Source organism: Homo sapiens, chromosome 6 (genome assembly GCF_000001405.40).
Source record: "Homo sapiens chromosome 6, GRCh38.p14 Primary Assembly".
In the NCBI taxonomy this organism is placed as follows: domain Eukaryota; kingdom Metazoa; phylum Chordata; class Mammalia; order Primates; family Hominidae; genus Homo; species Homo sapiens.
In genome coordinates this window covers 70,686,600-70,707,228 of record NC_000006.12, presented here as the reverse complement: position 1 = coordinate 70,707,228, position 20,629 = coordinate 70,686,600, and the positions used below count along the sequence as shown (strand labels likewise).

The 20,629-nt window shown below is 38.0% G+C and overlaps 1 protein-coding gene and 1 pseudogene across 9 annotated transcripts in view; both read right to left on the bottom strand.

Moving 5' to 3' along the window:
- The window catches only part of SMAP1 (small ArfGAP 1), a 194,133-nt gene that overhangs the window by 154,787 nt on the left and 18,717 nt on the right, over window positions 1–20,629 (bottom strand). The window contains exon 2 of one of the 9 annotated variants that reach the window (XM_047419227.1): window positions 7,779–7,954. The exons of the other annotated variants lie outside the window; for them this stretch is intronic. Coding sequence (XP_047275183.1) covers window positions 7,779–7,815 — 37 coding nt within the window. The 5' untranslated portion in view covers window positions 7,816–7,954. The remainder of the gene's footprint in view (window positions 1–7,778; window positions 7,955–20,629) is intronic. 9 annotated transcript variants of the gene reach the window in all.
- On the bottom strand, window positions 12,411–13,390 carry LOC100419975 (transmembrane protein 192 pseudogene; annotated as a pseudogene).

Sequence of the window (20,629 nt, the reverse complement as noted above, 5' to 3'; positions counted from 1 at the left end):
TTTATTTTGTTAAACAAATCAAGCTCAAATGTTCCATGCTTATGTGATCAAAATATGACAAAATCTCATGAATCCAAATTCCAGTACATCATAATTGGAATAAAGTTACTCTAATAGTATAAAACTAACATATAACAAGAGAAACCATTAATGTCAAAAACAGCTGATACATAAAAACTATTGATAAAAATCAAAGAAAAACCCAGAATAAGGAAGGACAAACATATGTGGCAAAATACAAAACAGCTATATTCCTAATCCTAAATTTTATTCTAACATCATTCTAATGACTAATGATTAAATTCCAGAAACTATATTAAACACTGGCTTATTTGATATATCCTGGGGCTATACATTAGCAACTCATTTATTCTACTTCCTCTTTTATTCGTGAATTCTAGATCCCATTATTATTTGACCATACATTCATGCCAAAAATCTAACAATACACATAACACAAAATAATTCAGAAAATGGTGTGGGCATCTTAATTTGGATTAATAGAGAGCGCCATCTGGTGGTACAACGAAAGTTTAATATATTTTTTCATTTGTTTAAAGGCATGTATTAAATACAAATAGGGTTATGCAATTCTTAAAAATTTTTAATTATGCAAACATTTTAAGTGTACAGAAAAGCAGAGAGAAAATCTGCCAATAAAACAACCAAAAATATGAACTCACTTTACCTCTTTAACCTCTGTATAACATGATGGTTTACCAGATCATCCAGAGAGCAGCCAGATAAAAGTATAATATGCCAGTTTACTAAGGTATGTCTGTTCCATATGAAACCATGAAAAAAGACAAGTTCAAAAAATGCATTATTAACAAACACGATCTTCACTAAAAACAAGAAGTTAGTTGACTGGTTTTAACCAGTCAAGATTTTTATCTTAAGATTTTAAGATAGTTGGGGGGAAAGGACTTATTTTTACTGTAAGACTTAATTTTGTTGTTTCTCTTGTATCATATAAAACAAAAACCAGAGCAATAAACCCCAATAATAAATGTTTCTCTAAAAAAATCAAAATAGGATCCACCAACTTCGTTGTCAAAAACCTTGACATATCATGAGGCCAAAATAGGAACAGAATGATAAAGTTTGGTACCTCTCTTTCCCTTTCGGTGTTTCTAATTATCCCATTATCCAAAACTTTCTTCTCTTCCTAACCACCAAGTGCTGTCATTCTGCCCCATTCAAGCCTTCATTTCTTGGTAGAAATGCCAAACTGTCATACCTTACACAATCATAATGGACTCTGAGTTCATGAAGTAGTTACACACTAAAGGCAGTATAACAGCTCTTCTACAAAGAACTTGGGTTTGCTTTATCAATCAGACGCTTATGGCTATGGAACTGTAGACAAATTTTATAGGCCTCTCTAAACCTCAGTTTCCACACTAAAAAATAGGCAAAGTTGATCTATACCTTGTAGGGTTGGGGCCTTTGAAATTAAAGGGCGTGAAATACATAAGTACCTGGCACAATAAGAACGCTATACCTGTCACTCCCCTCCCTTTTACTGACAAGGCCATCCTGCCACTCCTTAAACACTTTAAGTAATAGAATGTTTCCTTCTTGCTGTCTACTCCAACTGTGTGCAGTTATATTTGTTAGAAAATTCTCTCTTAAACTGGCAAGAAAATGCCAAGAGTTCAATGAAAAGATCATAATGGCCCCAGCGTGGCGGCTCATACCTGTAATCCCAACAGTTTGGGAAGCTGAGGCAGAGGATCACCTAAGTCAGGAGTTTGAGACCAGCCTGGCCAACATGATGAAACCCCAGCTCTACTAAAAATACAAAAAATTAGCCAGGCATGGTGGCAGGCGCCTGTAATCCCAACTACTTGGGAGGCTGAGGCAGGAGAATCACTTGAACCCAGGAGGTGGAAGCTGCAGAGACCCAAGATCACACCACTTCACTCCAGTCTGGGCAACAGAGCAAGACTCTGTCTTAAAAAAAAAAAAAAAAATCATAATGAACTGAAATAGTTGGAGAAAATTTCATTCAAAAAACACTTCATAAATGCAGTATAACTTTGAACTAGGCCTGGAAAGATGGATGAGATATGGAAGAAGGGAAAAGACTCAGAAGCTTAATTGTTCATTCACTCATTCATTGACTCACTGTCATCAAAAATGTGGTTAATGCTTACTATATGCCAAGAACTTTCTAGTTACTGGGTATCCTCAGGGAAATAAAACAGATGAGAGTCTGCCATCATGAACTACAAATCCCAAGAAAGCAAGACAGAGAAAAACAAGTTAGATATTTGTCTTTGGATGCCTGCCTGTTCAATTAATAGCCCCTTTCAGCTTGAAGTGGAAAAATTAACTAAAATAATAAATGTCTCCATATATTAGAACTTTTGCTTTTTAAAAGTCTTGATATAAGGAGAAGCAGAAACTGATGGCTAAAATGACACTCTGAATTAGATGCAGAGTCCAACTACTTTCTTGTCTTTCAAGCTCACAAATAATGGATACGGTTGACTAATCCCACTTAATGTCTTTGATATCAGTAACAATGAAAATTGCTATATAAAGATTTTTAACAAATACAACTGTGGAATATATTAGCCTTGTTTGCATTTTAGCAGGAAGAATAAACTCAAAGACTAAGGCAAATTCTGTACCAGTTTGACAACAGCAAACTATAATTACATAAACAGATGTTTTCACCATTCTATGAAATGGAAGGAGACGTTATTTGAAACATGAACAATTTAAATAACTTGCTGCAGAATATAACCATTTTAATTTGACTTGAAAAAAAAATCTGTAATATTAGCAGTCAGCAAAATACAATCAAATTTATATATGAAGAGCACAGCACATCACAGGAGATTTCCTCTATAAGTTGATTCAGACTTCAAAGAATCAGGAGGAGTAATGGATTAACTTGTTTTGTATCATTCACTTAGCAGTATCAAGCTTTCATTGGAACAGAAGAGTACTAGTAACATCAATAGTTTTCATTTTCTCCTGTAATTTGTTAATAGCTCTAAAAATTACATGAGGACAGATGTTATAAATAAACTTAAATGTAACTGTTCTCTTCAATGAGCCTAGGAAAAATATAAGTTTCAATAAAAAGAAACAAGGGGTTTAAAAGTAATTTTCTTTTCATGGCTTTTTCTACTAAAATACCATATTGAGTTGTTTTCTAACCAAAATATGAAGGAACAGACGCTGAAATTTGCCCAATCGACTAAAGCAACTTTAAATCCAAACAAAATATATAACACATTGCTGAAGAAACTGGAAATCAAGAGATGGAAAACAAACTAGGTGAGAGCCTTACAATGAACTCAGCTTACTGTCCAGGGAAAGTGTCTAGGCCATGGCAAAGGGAAGATAAATCCAGGGGCAGCCCAGTGGCCTCCCTAACTCCAGGAAATGGATCTAGGAGTTCACAGAGACTAAGGTGGCTGAATTTCATAAGGCAGCATACAAGAGGAGAGAGATGCACAGAGAGAAAACTCCTTAAACATGCAAAAAGTCATCACTGAATATTTAATTGAGTACTGATTGGTGCACGTGTGTGAGGAAACTACAGAAGGTAGGGAAAACCCCACCCAAAACAATTAGAGGAAACTAACTTGAAAACTTTATTATTAATGGATCATCAGATATGGTATTCGAAGAATTTTTGCCTCACTAATGGAAAAATTAATTCTATAAAGTCCTGTAGTCTCACCTAGTAAAGCTTAAAAGCAAGATCTGAAAAAGTCAGGCTATTTCCAAGTAACTTAACTGCATCCAAGAAAAAAGGTCAAAAATATTTATAAAAATACAAAAATATCAGGAACCGATACAATTCCCATATCTAGCATTCAATTGAAAAATGCTGGCTGAGCGTGGTGGCTCACACCTGTAATCCCACCACTTTGGGAGGCCGAGGTGGGCGGATCACTTGAGATCAGTTCAAGACCAACCTGGCCAACATGGTGAAACCCTGTCTCTACTAAAAATACAAAAATTAGTTGAGCATGGTGGCAGGCATCTGTAATCCCAACTACTTGGGAGGCTGAAGCAGGAGAATCGCTTGAGCCCAGAAGGCAGAGGTTGCAGTCAGCCATATCGTGTCACTGAACTCCAGCCTGGGTGACAGAGCGAGACTCTGTCTCAAAAAAAAAAGTCGTGAAAAAAGGAAAACATAATCTATAAAAAGGAGGAAAGTCAATCAATCGAAACAAACCCTCAAATTACACTTGAATTAGCACGCAAGGCACAAAATCCATTATCATTGACTTCTATATGTTCAAGAAGCTATAAGAAAGACTGAACATGGGGACAGGCACAGTGGCTCATGCCTGTAATCCCAGCACTTTGGAAGGCCAAAGCAGGTGAACTGCTTGCACTCAGGATTTCGAGACCAGCCTGGGCAACAGGGCCAAGACCCTGTCTCTATAACAAACACAAAAATTAACCAGGTGTGGTGGTGCGCACCTGTAGTCCCAGCTACTCAGGAGGCTGAGGTGGGACAATGGCTTGAGCCTGGGAGGTTGCAGTGAGCTGAGATCACACCACTCAACTCCAGCCTGGGTAAAAGAGCTAGACTCTGCCTCAAAAAAAAAAAAAGAAGAAGAAGAAGAAGAAGAAAGAAAGGCTGAACATGTGAAGAAGAGGCATGAGGCATGGAGTGCATGTGTGTGTGGACACAAAAGATCCAAATCAAACTTCTATAAGATGCAAACTATAATGACTGGGATAAGAACTACACTGGATAGAATTAAGAGATGAGACAATCAAGAAGAAAAAACTGCTAAAAGAATGTGAAGACAAAGCAATAGCAACTATCTAAAATGAAACAAATAAACAGACCCCCTCCCCAAAAAAAAAGCATGTAACTGAGCTCTGCAGCAGTTTCAGCAACCTAATTAACTTTTAATTGGAATTCCCAAATTAAGAGGTGGAGTGACAGAAAAAGTAAAATAATTGCAGAATTTTTTCCAAATGCATTGAAAACTATAAACCCATAGAACCAAGAACCTCAAAGGAACCCCCCCCAAAAAAGAAACATGAAGAAAGCTACCAAAAGACAATTCATAATCAAACTGATTAAAACTAAGGATAAACAGAAAAAAATCTTAAAAGAAGCTGGGGGAAAAGGCATTACGGACAAAGGAACATACAATGATGACAGATTTCTCACAAAATCAACGGAAACTCACAAACAGCAAAATATCTTAAAAGTACTGAAAGTAAAATACTGTCAACGTAGAACTTTTTGCCATACTAAAACATCTTTTGAAAACAAAGGTGAAATAAAGGTCAGGAAAGTAATCAATGAAGTAGGAGGCAGAGCAAGATGAACAAACAGAACCAATAATCATCTCCCCTGCAGGAACACCAAATTGAACAATTATCCACACAAGAAATCACCTTCATAAGAACCAAAGTATCTGGTTTTAATATCATATTGAGAAAAGGGGCACTGAAGAGGTTAGGGAAGACAATTTTGAATTGCCTACACTACCCTCCTCAACCCCCTGGACAGCAGCTGTATGACAGAGAGAGAATGTGTGCTTGGGGAAGGGAGAACGCAGTGATTGTGGGACTTGGCATTGAAACTCTGTCCTGCCAATCATGGTGGGAAGCGACACAGGGCAGAAATCAGCTGGGGCCCAAGGAAGGAACTTTTATACCAGCCTTAACCAGAGGAAAATCATCCATCCCAGCAGCGAGAACCTGAGTTCTGGCTAGTCCCACCAGTGCATGCTAAAGCACTCTAGGGTCCTAAATAAACTTGAAAGGCAGTCTTGGCCACAAGGACTGCAATCCCTAGGCAAGTCCCGGTGCTGTGCTGGGCTTGCAGCCAGTGGACTTTGGGTGCACGTGACCTAGTAAGACACCAGGCCAGGCATGGTGGCTCATGCCTGTGATCCAGAGCCGGGTGGATCACTTGAGCTCAGGAGTTCGAGACAAGCTTGGGAAACATGGCAAAACCCATCTCTACCAAAAATACAAAAAAATTAGCCAGGCATGGTGGTGTGTGCCTATAGTCCCAGCTACTAGGAAGGCTGAGGTAGAAGGATTGCTTGAGCCTAGGAGGTGGAGGTAGCAGTGAGCTGAGATACCAGCTGGGGCAGCCAAGGGAGTGCTTGCATCACCACTCCCCCAATCCCAGGTGGCACAGCTCACAGCTCTAGGAGAGACTCCTTCCTTCCGTGTGAGGAGAGAAGAGGGGAGGGTAAAGACGACTTTGCCTTGCAACTTGGATATCAGTTCATCCACAAGAGAATGGAGCACCAGGCAGAGTCCTGAGGCCCCCATTCCAGGACCTAGCTCCCCGATGACAATTCTAGACACACCCTGGGCCAGAAGGGAACCCACTGCCTTGAAGGGAAGGACACAGTTCTGGCAGGATCCATTACCTGCTGACTAAAGAGCCCTTGGGTCTTGAACAAACACCAGCAGGTAATACTTGCCGGTACTTGCTAGTAGCCAAGTAGAACTTGCTGCAGGCCTTGGGTAAGACCCAGTGCCATGCAGGCTTCAAGCATGACCCACCATGTTCACAGCTGTGGTGGCTATGGGGAGAGACTCCTTCTGTATTAGGTCGTTCTTCTGTTACTATACATAAATATCTGAGGCTGGGTAATTTACAAAGAAAAGAAGTTTAGGCTGGGTGCCATGGCTCACACCTGTAATCCCAGCAATTTGGGAGGCCAAGGCAGGTGGATCACTTGAGGCCAGGAGTTTGAGACCTGTCTGGCCAACATGGTGAAACTCCATCTCTACTAAAAACACAAAAATTAGCCAGGCATGGTGGTACATCCTGTAATCGCAGCTACTCTGGAGGCTGAGGCACAAGAATCGCTTGAACCTGGGAAATGGAGGTTGCAGTGAACCGAGATCATGCCACTGCACTTCAGCCTGGGTGACAGTGAGACTGTCTGAAAAGAGAAAAGAGGTTTAATTGGTTCACTGTTCTGCTGGCTGTACAATTATGGCACCAGCATGTGCTTGGCTTCTGCGGAAGCCTCAGGGAGCTTTTACTCACGACAGAAGGTGAAGCAGGTGCTTGCAGGCCATATGGCGAGAGAAGGAGCAAGGGGCAGAGGGAGGTGCCACACACTTTTAAATAATCATATCTCATGAGAACTCACTCACTATCTCAAGAACAGCACGAAGGTACGAGGAATCCATTCCTGTGACCCACAAACCTCCCACCAGGCCCCACCTCCAACACTGGGGAATACAACATCTCAACATGAGATTTGGGTGTGACAAATACCCAAACCATATCACCTTCTGCTTGAGGAAAGGAAAGGGAAGAATAACGGGGACTTTGTCTTACAGTTTGGTTGCCAGCTAAGTCACAGTGGTGTGGAGCACCAAGCAGGCTCCTAGGATCCCAGATTCCAGGCCTTGGCTCCTGGATGGCATTTCTGGACCCACCCTGGGCCAAAGAGGAGCCCACTGCCTTGAAGGGAGAGACCCAGGCCTGGCAACATTTACTACAAACTCACTGAAGAGCCCTCGGACCTTACGTTAACATCAGCAGTGGCGAGGCAGTACTCACCACAGGCCTTGGGCAGTGGTGGTCATGAGGAAAGACTACCACTTGAAGAAAGGAGAGGGAAGAATGTTAAGAACTTTGTCTTGCAGCTTGGATGCCAACTCAGCCACAGCAGAACAGTGCATTAAGTGGAATCCTAAGCTTCCTGACTCCAAGCCCTGGTTCTCAGGCATTTCTGGACCCACCTTGGGCCAGTGGAGAGCTCGCTGTCCTGAAGGGAGGATACAAGCCAGGCCGGATTCACTACCTGCTGACTGAAGAGCTCTTGGGCCTTGAGAGAACATCAGTGGTAGCCAGGCAGTGGTCGCCACAGGTCCCGGGTAAGACTCAGTGCTATGCTGGTTTCAGGTCTAATCCAGCGCAGTCCCAGTGGTGGTGGTCACATGGGTACTTGTTTCATCCCTCCCTCAGCCGCAGGAAGCTCTGCACAGAGAGAGAGACTCCATTTGTTTGCAGGAAAGTAAGGGAAGAAAACAAGAGTCTCTGCCTGGTAATCCAGGGAATTCTCTCAGATCTCACCTAAGACCACCAAAGCAGTACCTCTACCGGTCTGCAAGAGTCAGTGTTACTGGGTCTGGGTCCCCACTAATGCAGATGCAGCTGCAATAAGCAAAGACTTAGATCAGGACACTCAATTCCTTTGCATACTTGGACAGCCTTCCCAAGAAGGATGAGGACAAACAAGCCTAGACAGAAAAGACCACAATAAATACCTAACTCTTCAATGCCCAGACATCAACAAACATCCACAAGCATCAAGACCATCCAAGAAAACATGACCTCCCCAAATGAACTAAATAAGGCACAAATGATCAATCCCAGAGTGACAGAGATATGTGACCTTTCAGGCAGAGAATTCTAAACAGCTGTTTTGACGAAGCTCAACAAAATTCAAGATAACACTGAAAAGGAATTCAGAATTCTATCGGATAAATTTAACAAGAGATTGAAATAACTAAAAATCAAGCAGAAATTCTGAACCTGAAAAATTCAACTGACATACTGAAGAATGCGTCAGAGTCTCTCAACAGCAGAATTGATCAAGCAGAAGAAATAATTCGTAAGCTTGAAGCAGGCTATTTCAAAATACAGTCAGAAGAGACAAAAGAATAAAATGATAAAAAAGAATGAAGCATGCCTACGAAATCTAGAAAACAGTCCTAAAATGGCAAATCTAATAGTCATTAACCTAACAAGGAGGTAGAGAGAGATGGGGTAGAAGGCTGATTCAAAGGGATAATAACAGAGAATTTTCCAAACCTAGACAACAATATCACAATTCAAAAGCACAGAGAGGTTACAGATTTAACCGAAATAAGACTACCTCGAGACATTTAATTACCAAATTCCTAAATGTCAAAGATAAAGGATCCTAAAAGAAGCAAGAGAAAAGAAACAAGTAACATACAAAGGAGCTCTAACACATCTGGCAGCATATGTCTCAGTGGAAACCTTACAGGCCAGGAGAAAGTGATATGACATATTTTAAGTGCTGAAGGAAAAAACTTTTATCCTAGAATAGCATATCAAGTGAAAATATCCTTCAAGTGAAGGAGAAATAAAGACATTGCCAGACAAACAAAAGCTAAGGGATTTCATCAACACCAGACATGTCCTATAAGAAATGCTGAAGGAAGTTCTTCAATCTGAAAGAAAATGATGTTAACGAGCAATAAGAAATCATCTTAAGGTAAAAAGCTCACTGGTAATAGTAAGCACACAAAAAAACGCAGAATATTGTAGCATTGTAATTGTGGTGTATAAACTGTTCATATCTTGAGTAGAAAGGCCAAGAGATGAACCCATCAGAAAATAACTACATCTTTTCAAGACACAATACAATAAGATAGAAATAACCAAAAGTTAAGAAGTGTGGGGGATGAAGTTAAAGTGTAGAGGTTTTATTAGTTTTCTCTTTGCTTGTTTGTTTTGGCAATTAAGTTGTCATCAGTTTAAAATAATGGATTACGTTATTTGCAAGCCTCATGGTAACATCAAGTCAAAAAACCCTACACAAGATACATAAAAAATAAAAAGCAATGAATTAAAACATACCACCAGAGAAAATCATCTTCACAAAAAGACAAGAAGCGGCCAGGCGTGGTGGCTCACGCCTGTAATCCCAGCACTTGGGGAGGCCGAGGCAGGCAAATCACGAGGTCAGAAGTTCAAGACCAGCCTGGCCAACATGGTGAAAACCCGTCTCTACTAAAAATACAAAAAAATTAGCTGGGTGTGGTGGTGGGCACCTGTAATCCCAGCTACTAGGGAGGCTGAGGCAGGAGAATTGCTTGAACCTAGGAGGCGGAGGTTGCAGTGAGCTGAGATTGCACCACTGCACTCCAGCCCCAGCAATGGTGTGAGACTCTTGTCTCAAAAAAAAAAAAAGGAATAAAGGAAGAGAAGACCACAAAACAACCAGAAAACAAATAACAAAATGGCAGTATTAAGTCCTTACATATCAATAACATTGAATATAAATGAATTAAACTCTCCAATCAAAAGACAAAGAGTGGCTAAACGGATAAAAAAGCAACATCCAATGAACTGTTACCTACAAGAAACACACTTCACCTGTAATAACACACAAAGACTGAAAATAAAGGGATGGAAGAAGATACTGCATGCAAATAGAAATCAAAAAAGAGCAGGAGTAGCTTATATTGGACAAAATAGATTTCAAGAGAAAAACTACAGAGATAAAGGTCATTTTATAATGATAAAGGGGTCAACTCAGCAAGATGATATAACAATTGTAAATATATATGCACCCAACACTGTAAAACCCAAATATATAAAGCAAATATTATTAGAGCTAAAGACAAAGATATACCCCAAGTTAATAGCTGGAGATTTCAACACCCCACTTTCAGCATTAGATCATCCAGACAGAAAATTAACAAAGAAACATTGGACTTAATCTGAACTATAGACCAAAACGGACCTAACAGATATCTGCAAAACATTTCATCCAACAGCTGCAGAATACACATTCTTCTCCTCAGCACATGGATCATTTTCAAGGATAGACTATATGCTGGGCCACAAAACAACTCTTAAAATTCAAAAAATTTGAATTCACATCAAATATCTTCTCTGACCATGATGGAATAAAACTAGCAATCAATAACAGGAAGAACTATGGATACTATACAAATATATGGAAATTAAATAGTATTCTCCTGAAAGGCCAAGGCGTCAATGAAGAAATTTAAAAGGAAATTTTAAATGTCTTGAAACAAATAAAAATAAAAACACAACATACCAAAACCTGTAGGATAAGACAAAAGCAGTACTAAGAGGAAAGTTTATAGCAATAAGCACTTACACTAAAAAAGCAGAAGACTTCAAATAAGCAACATAATGATGTAGCTTTAAACACTAGCAAAGCAAAGGCAAACCAAGCCCAAAATTAGAAGAAAAGAAATAATAAATATCAGAGTAGAAATAAATGAAATTGAAATAATACAAAAGATCAATGAAACAAAATGCTGTTTTTTTTGAAAAGATAAGCAAAAGATAAGCCAGACGAAGAAAGAAGACACAAATAAATAAAATCAGAGATGAAAAAGGAGACATTACAACCAATACTGCAGAAATTCAAACCATCATTAGAGGCTACTATGAGAAACTATATGCCAATAAATTGGAAAAGCTAGACGAAATGGATAATTTCCTAGACACATACAATCTACCAAAATTAAACCACAAAGAAATCCAAAATCTAAATAGACCAATAACAAGAAATGAGATTGAAGCTGTAATACAAAGTATCCCAGCAAAGAAAAGTCCAGGACCCAATGGCTTCACTGCTGAATTCTATCAAACATTTAAAGAAGAACTAATACCAATCCTACTCAAACTATTCGGACAAATAGAGGAGGAGGGAATACTTCCAAACTCATTCTACAAGGCTAGTATCACCCTGATACCAAAACCAGACAGACACATCAAAGAAAAGGAAGCCAATATCCTGATGAACACTGGCGCAAAAATCCTCAACAAAATACTAGCAAATCAAATTAAACAACATATTAAAAAGTTCATTCATCATGACCAAGTGGGATTTATCCCAAGGATGCAATGATAGTTCAACATATGCAAATTAACCAATGTGATACATCATATCAACATTGAATGAAGGACAAAAACCAAATAATCATTTCAACTGATACTGAAAAAGATTCTGATAAAATTCAACATCCCTTTATGATAGAAACCCAAAAAAAATTGGGTATGGAAGGAACATACCTCAACACAATAAAAGCCATATATGACACACCCCTAGCTAGTATCATACTGAATGGGGAAAAACTGAAAGCCTTTCCTCAAAGACCTGGAACAAGACAAGGATGCCCACTGTCACTACTGTTATTCAGCATAATAGTCAAACAATGTCTAGCTAGAGCAATCAGACAAGAGAAAGAAAGGGCATCCAATTTGGAAAGGAAAAAGTCAAAGTATACTTGTCTGTAGGTAATATGATCTTATATTTAGAAAAAACTAAAGACCCTACCAAAAAACTACTAGAATAAACAAATTCAGTAAGGTTGCAGGATACACAATCAATATACAAAAATCAGTAGCATTTCTACGTCAAGAGCAAACAATGAGAAAAAGCAATCAAGAAAGTAATCCCATTACGACAGCTACAAATACAATGAGATAAATAAACTTGAAAAGAAATGGAAGATCTCCACAGTGAATAGAACATTGATGCGAGAAACTGAAAAAGACGCACAAAAAAACGGAAATATATTCCATGTTCATGGATTGAAAGATTCAATATTGGATTTTTGTTGTTGTTGTTTAAATTATACCTTTGATCCTAAGACCAAGCAGTTAAATAATTTCAAAAAGTAAACAACAGACATTATCCTCAAGTTATTAAGGTGTTTACAAGGTACCTTTACCCCCAAACCCTATATGGTATACAGCCACACAGGTGAGAACCAAATTCAGGTTTCCAACAAAAATTATAAAATGCTATTCAGCAAAAGCTGCAATTCTCTATGGCAGCTTGTGAGATTACTCTGGATTCTTCTGCAATTGCTGTCAAGACTGTAAGCCTCTCACATTCTACTTGGCTAACAGGCTAGGTCCAAGGAAGTGAGAGCCAACAGTCACTCAACACTTCATTGTGTCGCTTCATATATACTATTATGTCTCCTTGCTTTTCAACAACTTCTTCTAGGTTTCAAATAGTCCTGAATCCAGTCTCTGAGGTAATACTGCTGGGTTAAGTACAGATTTTTCCTTCTTCAAGTACATCAGGATATGGCTTAGCTTTATTAAACTTCCAGATTTTCACTGTGTAAATGAGCAGACACATCAGAAAACAGATCAGCACCAGGGCCAGGATGGCCAGAAGGAGATCAAGATATAATCTGATCTGCTGGGTTCCAGGAAGGAATGCTGCAACACAGTATGAAGAGAATTATTGTGTTGCCAGTGGAGTGTATCATTAACATAAATCTCTTGAGATGCCTTATCCATCAGTAGATCAAGTTATAGCCTCGATTTCTGACTTTGCTGTGGTGATACTGGATGTAGCATTCAAGATGTAAACAGAAAATCCACCACAAAGTAACTTTCCAAAGGATTACAACCATTTGAACTTCAAGAGGGTTGGTATAGTTTCCTGGGCACCTGTCTTCATTTAGATTAGGGTAAGAACAAACCACATCTGTTAAAAATGCTAAAAATAACACAACATGAATAAACAAAAGATTTGTTATGATGACTGTAGGAAAAAGATAGAATCAGGGTCTAAAATGAGCTTCTAGTGAGCAATGTTAAGAGAAGCTGGGTATCCAAAGATGGGTCATCTTCAATACTTTGAGTGATACCCAAGAAACCCCTTAAATTTTTAACCAATTTTGCTTTAAATATATGAGTCTCAAATCAACTTCCAGGTCTCACAGTTTTTCATTTTCTCAACCCCTCCATCCTTCCCCCAATGCCATTTTCCAAAGCTGGAGGCCAAAGCTTTAGCCAACCTGGCCTCTCCACCTGTCAGAATCAATATTGTTACAATGTCCACACTACCCAAAGCAATCTACAGATTCAACGCAATCCCTATTAAAATACAATGATGGCCAGGCACGGTGGCTCATGCCTGTAATCCCAGCACTTTGGGAGGCCGAGGCAGGCGGATCATGAGGTCAAGAGATGGAGACCATCCTGGCCAACAAGGTGAAACCCTGTCTCTACTAAAAATACAAAAATTAGCTGGCTGTAATGGCACACACCTGTAGTCCTAGCTACTCAGGAGGCAGAGGCAGGAGAATCGCTTGAACCTGGAAGGCAGAGGTTGCAGTGAGCAGAGATTGCACCACTGCACTCCAGCCTGGTGACAGAGCAAGACTCTGTCTTAAAAAAAAAAAAAAAAAAAAAAAAGAAGATGACATTCTTCACAGAAATCCTAAAATTTACATGAAACCACAAAAGACCCAGAATAGTCCAGGCAACAAGAACAAAACTGGAGGAATCACATTACCTGACTTCAAATTATACTACAGATCTTCTAAAACAGCCTACCAAAACAAAAACAAATTATAGTACATAGCTATAGTAACCAAAACAGCATGGTACTGGCATAAAAATAGACACATAGGCTGGGCGCAGTGGCTCACGCCTGTAATCCCAGCACTTTGGGAGGCCGAGGTGGGCAGATCATGAAGTCAGGAGATCAAGACCATCCTGGCTAACATGGTGAAACCCTGTCTCTACTAAAAATACAAAAAATTAGCCGGGCATGGTAGTGGGCACCTGTAGTCCCAGCTACTCGGGAGGCTGAGGCAGGAGAACAGCGTGAACCTGGGAGGCGGAGATTGCAGTGAGCCAAGATCACGCCACTGCACTCCAGCCTGGGCAACAGAGCGAGACTCCATCTCAAAAACAACAACAAAAAATAGACACATAGACAAATGGAATCGAATAGAAAACCCAGAAATAAATCCATACATCTAGAGTGAACTCATTTTTGACAAAGGGGCCCAGAACATACATTGGGTAAAAGAGCAGTCTCTCCAGTAAATGGTACTGGGAAAACTGGATATAAATATGCAGAAGAATAAAACTTGACTCGTATCTCTCACCATATTCAAAATTCAAGTCAAAATAGATTAAAGGCTTAAATCTAAGACCTCAAACTATGAAACTACTAAAACATTGGGGACACTCTGCCCAGGCAAAAATTTCTTGAGTAGTACCCCACAAACACAGGCAACCAAAGCAAAAATGGACAAATGGGATCACATCAAGTTATAAAGCTTTGGCACAACAAAGGAAACAACAAAGTGAAGAGACAACCCACAAAATAAGATAAGATATTTACAAACTCTCCATCTGACAAGGGATTAATAACCAGAATATATAATGAGCTCAAACAACTCCATAGGAAAAAATATAATAATCTGATTTTAAAATGGACAAAAGATCTAATCAGACATTTCTCCAAAGAAGACATACAAATGGCAAACAGGTATATGAAAAGGTGCTCAACATCACTGATTATCAGAGAAATGCAAATTAAAATTACAATGAGATATCATCTCACTCCAGTTAAAATGGCTTTTATGCAAAAGACTGAAAATAACAAATGCTGGCATGGATGTGGAGAAAAGGGCAAATTAGTGCAGCCACTATGAAGAACAGTACGGAGATTCCTCAAAAAAACCAAAAATAGACCTACCATACGATCCAGCAATCCCACTGCTAGCTATATACCCAAAAGAAAGGAAATAATTATACTGAAGAGATACCTGCACGGCCATGTTTATTGTGGCACTATTCACAATAGCCAACATTTGGAAGCTACCTAAGTGTCCATCAACAGGGGAATGGATAAAGACAACGTGGTACATATACACATTGGAGTACTATATTCAGCAATAAAAACGAATGAGGTCCTGTCATCTGCAACAACATGGATGGAACTAGAGGATATTATGTTAAGTGAAATGTCAGGCACAGAAAGACAAACTTCTCACATTCTCACTCTTTTATAGGAGCTAAAAATTAAAACAATTGAACTCATGGAGATAGAGAGTAGAATGATGATTACCAGAAACTGGGAAGAGTAGGGGGTTGGTGCAGAGGGCCACAGAATTGAGATGGTTAATGGGTTTAAATATATAGTTAGAATGAGTAAGATCTAGTATTTGATAACACAACAGGGTGATTACAGTCAACAATAATTTATCACACATTTTAAAATAACTAATAGTATAACTGTAATGTTTGTAACATAAAGAAATGATAAATGCTTGAGGTGATGGAAACCTCATTTACCCTGATGTGACTATTATGCTTTGTATGCCCATATCAAAATATCTCATGTACCCCATAAATATATCCACCTACTATTATATGTACCCATAAAAATTTTAAAAAATCAGTGAAGTAGAAAACCAAAAGGCAACAAAAAAGTCAATGAAAATAAAGACTGATTATTTGAAAAACATCAATAAAATAGGTAAATCTCTAGCATGGCTGATGAAGAAAGAGAGAAAATACAAACTACCAATATCAGCAATGATAGAAGAGACATTACTACAGATTCTACAGATACAATAAAGGAATATCATAAACAACTTTATGCTATAAGTGCACCAACTCCTTGAAAGACAGAAATGAGCTCTCTCCAGAAGGAAAAGATAACCTGAATGGCCTAATATCGATTAAATAAACTGAATCTGCTCAGCAAAAAACAAACAAAAACTCAAGGCCCAGATAGCTTTACTGGGGAAATCTACCAAACGATTAAGGAATAGTGTCAGTTCTATACAAACTCCTCCGGAAATTGAGGGGAAAAAAAAACAGTGGGGAAGGGGGGAAGGGGGAGGAGGAGAATACTATCTAATTCATTTGGTGAGCCTAAAATTATTCTGATACCAAACCAGACAAAGATATCACAAGAAATAAAACCTACAGTTCAACACCCTTCATGACAATATGTAAAATCATAGCAAATCAAATTCAAAAATATATATATATATATATATAAAAGATACATCAAGACCAAGTGTAGTTTCTCCCAGGAATGCAGTTTAATGTGTGAAAATCAATGTAGTTCAATATATTAAAGAACTTAAAAACCGGCCGGGTGGCCTGTAATCCCAGCACTTTGGGAGGCCAAGGCGGGCAAATCACCTGAGGTCAGGAGTTCAAGACCAGCCTGACCAACATGGAGAAACCCCATCTCTACTAAAAATACAAAATTAGCTGACCGTGGTGGTGCATGCTTGTAATCCCAGCTACTCAGGAGGCTGAGGCAGGAGAATCATTTGAACCCAGGAGGCGGAGGTTGCAGTGAGCCGAGATCGCACCACTGCACTCCAGCCTGGGCAACAAGAGCGAAAGTCCGTCTCAAAAAACAAAAAAAAAAGATTTTAAAAACTATATGATCATCTCAAAAGATGCAGAAAAGCATTTGATAAAATTCAACATACATTTCTGATGAAAATTCTCAGCAACCTAGCAACAAAGGAAATTTCCTCAACTTGATAAAAGGTATCTGTAAGACTTTTACATAAAAGATAAAGTCTGAACCCTTTCTCCCTTAGTATCAGGAACAAAACAAGCAAGTCCAGTTTCACCACTTCTATTTTTACTAAAGGTTCTAGTCAGTGCAATAAAATAAGAAAAAGGAAATAAAAGGTATTCAAATTGGAAAAAAGCAAAAATTGCCTTTATTCGAGGATGATAATTGTCTAGGTAGGAGACCTAATAGAATCCACGAAAAAAGCTATGAAAACAAATAAATGAGGTTAACTAAGTTGCAAGATGTCCTAAGTATGCAGCAACCTACGGTATTTCTATATACTAGTAATAATCAGAAATTAAAATTTTTAAAGTATCTTTTACAATAGCATTAAAAAATAAAACCTTATGGAAAAATCTAACAAAAAATAAGGAAGGCCCATACACTGAAAACTATAAAATACTGCCAAGCAAAATTAAGTAAGATCTAAATAATTGGAGAGATATATTTTGTTCAGATTGGAAGACTCTATATTAAAAGATGTCAATTCTCTCTCAAATGGATCTACAGACTCAAATGATTCCCCATTGAAATCTGAGATTATTTGTAGAAATTGACAAAGTGATTCTAAAATTCATATGAAAATTCAAGAAACCTAGAATAGGCATAACAACTTCGAAAAAAATAACAAAGTTGGAAGACTTACACTACCTTACTTACTTCCAGGCTTATTAAGAAGCTACAGTAATAAAGACTGTACAACATTGGCATAAAGGCAGACAAACAGATCAATGGAACATAATAAATTTCAGAAGTGCTCCCTCCTGGACATACATGGTCAATTAACTTTTTTAAAAAGGTGCAAAAGGAGAAAGACTAATCTTTTCAAGAAATGGTTCTCAGGCCGGGCACAGTGGCTCACACCTGCAATCCCAGCACTTTGGGATGCTGAGGCGGGTGGATCACCTGAGGTCGGGAGTTCAAGACCAGCCCTGCCAACATAGTGAAACCCCATCTCTACTAAAACTACAAAAATTAGCCAGGCGTGGTGGCGCACACCTGTAATCCCAGCTACTTAGGAGGCTGAGGCATGACATGAGAATCACTTGAAGCAGATTGGGACGTAGGGTATGCAGTGAGCCCAGATCGCACCACTGCATTCCAGCCTGGGTGACAGAGTAAGACTCTGTCTAAATGTTCTCAAAGGATCAAATATCCATATGCAAAAAAAAAAAACTTTGATCCATACCTTGTATCATATATAAAATGCAACTCAAAATGGATCATGGACTTAAATATAAAACATAACACTGTAAAACTTTTAGGAAACAATATATGAGAAAATCTTCAGGATCTAGGGTTAGGCAAATTGTACTTAGACTTGCTAAAAATACAGTCCATAAAAAAAATTAATAAATTGAACCTCTTCAAAACTAACTTTTCTTCTATGCAAGACCATGTGAAGAGGATGTAAAGTTAAGCTACAAAGTAGGAAAAAGTATTTGCACATATCTGACAAACGACTAGTATCTAGAATATATAAAGCACTTTCAAAACTCAACAGTAAAAAACAAAATCTATTTAGAAAATGAAACATGAACAGACATTTCACTGAAGAGGACATACAGATGGAAAACTGGCACATGAAAAGATGTTCAACACCATAAACCACTAGGAGAATCCAAATTGAAGCCAATATCACTGTTACAACACATCTAACATAATTACTAAAATAAAAAACAGTCACAACACCAAATGCTGGCAAAGGACCAACTAAATAGCTCACATCATTAGTAGATGTATAAAATGGTACAACCACTTTTGAAAAGTTTGGCACTTTTTTTATGGATCTAAGCATGCAATCACCATACAACCCAGCAAACTGCACTACTGGGCACTTATCAGAGAAATAAAAACCTACATCCACACAAAAATCTATACAAAAATGTTAACAGCAGCTTTATTTTTAATACTAAAAAACTACAAACAGTCCAGAGGTCCTTCAACAGATGAATGGTTAAACAAACTATGGCACAAACATATCACAAAATTCTATTTAATAAAAAGAAAAGAACTATTAACAGACGCAAAAACTTGGATGTGTCTTGAAAGAATTACACTGAGTAAGGCCGATCCCAGAAGGTTACATATTGCATGATTCTATTTTTATAACATTTTTGAAATGGCAAAATTTTGGAAGTGAAAAACAGATTCATGGATGCTATGGGTTAGGAATGGATGGGTGGGGTGGGACAGAGAAAAGTATGTGTGGTTTTAAGAGGGCAACACAAGAGATTCTTGTGGTATATAACTGTTCCATATCTTGACTGTGGTGGCAGATATATGAATCTTCACTTTTGATAAAATTGAATAAAAATACATGCACACACACACACAAATTACTGTACAAGCAAAACTGCAGAAGTCACAGTAAGATTGGTGGGTTGTATCAACATCAGTATCTTGGTTGTGACATTTGTCTATAATTTTACAAGATGTTACCATTAGGAGAAACTGGGTCAAGTGTCTATGTATTTTTTTAATCATCCAACATATATTCAACTGTGATTCACACATTATAGTTTCTCTATGTATGTTTTGATTCATAGCTTTCCTTCCATCCCAAACATGCACCAAAAGAGTAAAGAAGCTATTATCTCAACTAAATGGCGGCAAAAAAATGACCATTATTCTTAACCTAACTTTACTCTTCAAAACAGAGAAGCAAAATACTAGAAATACTCAATGCCCTACATTGAGAAAAATGTACTATAATCATTCAGCAATAAATATATAAGTTGCAGCAAATTACATGGTACAATAAAATCTTAATAACCTAAAATCCTACTAAATATATTTCCCTTGGTTAATTGGAATTGTTTTTTGAGAAACTGCTGTAATGTGAAAAGAATACATGGCAAAGAAATTCATCACAAATTTAAGAAAATGATTACTTCATGAAAATGATAATCCTCATTTTTTAAAATTTAAAAATTAAAACAGCACTGTCAAACTGTACTTTCCATGATGCTGGAAACATTCTATAATCTGCATTATCCAATACATTAGCTCCTAGCCACAGTGGCTATTAAGCCTAGAAATGAGGCTACTGGAATTAAGAAAGTGAATGTTTAAATTCGGTTAAATAGCCTTATGGCTAGTGACTTCCACACTGGACAGGACAAACCTAGAACTTACAGAAAAACTTAAAAAAAACACAGAGAGACAGCCACAATGTAAAAATCATCATCATCAGTATATTAGGTCAATATTTCTCAAACAGGGCACTACTGGCATTTTGGGCAGAATAATTCATTGTGCAGAACTGTCCCAAAGAGAATGTTCCTTTCAAATGATAAGGGTATTTTTTCCCAAGTTTAGTTTTATGACAACTTTTGAAATTACAGAGTATTATTACATTCAAAGAAATTACTAAAGCTGTTAAATTCACAGCAATAACGCATTTTCACCAGCAGAGGGCAGATATATGTTATAAAACCACCACTTCGTATATACTGTATTCAAATATTTAAGAAGCCCAATTGTACTGAAAAGACACTATTATATTCATTTATACAAAAAGAATTGTACTTCTGTAAGATAAGAAAGCA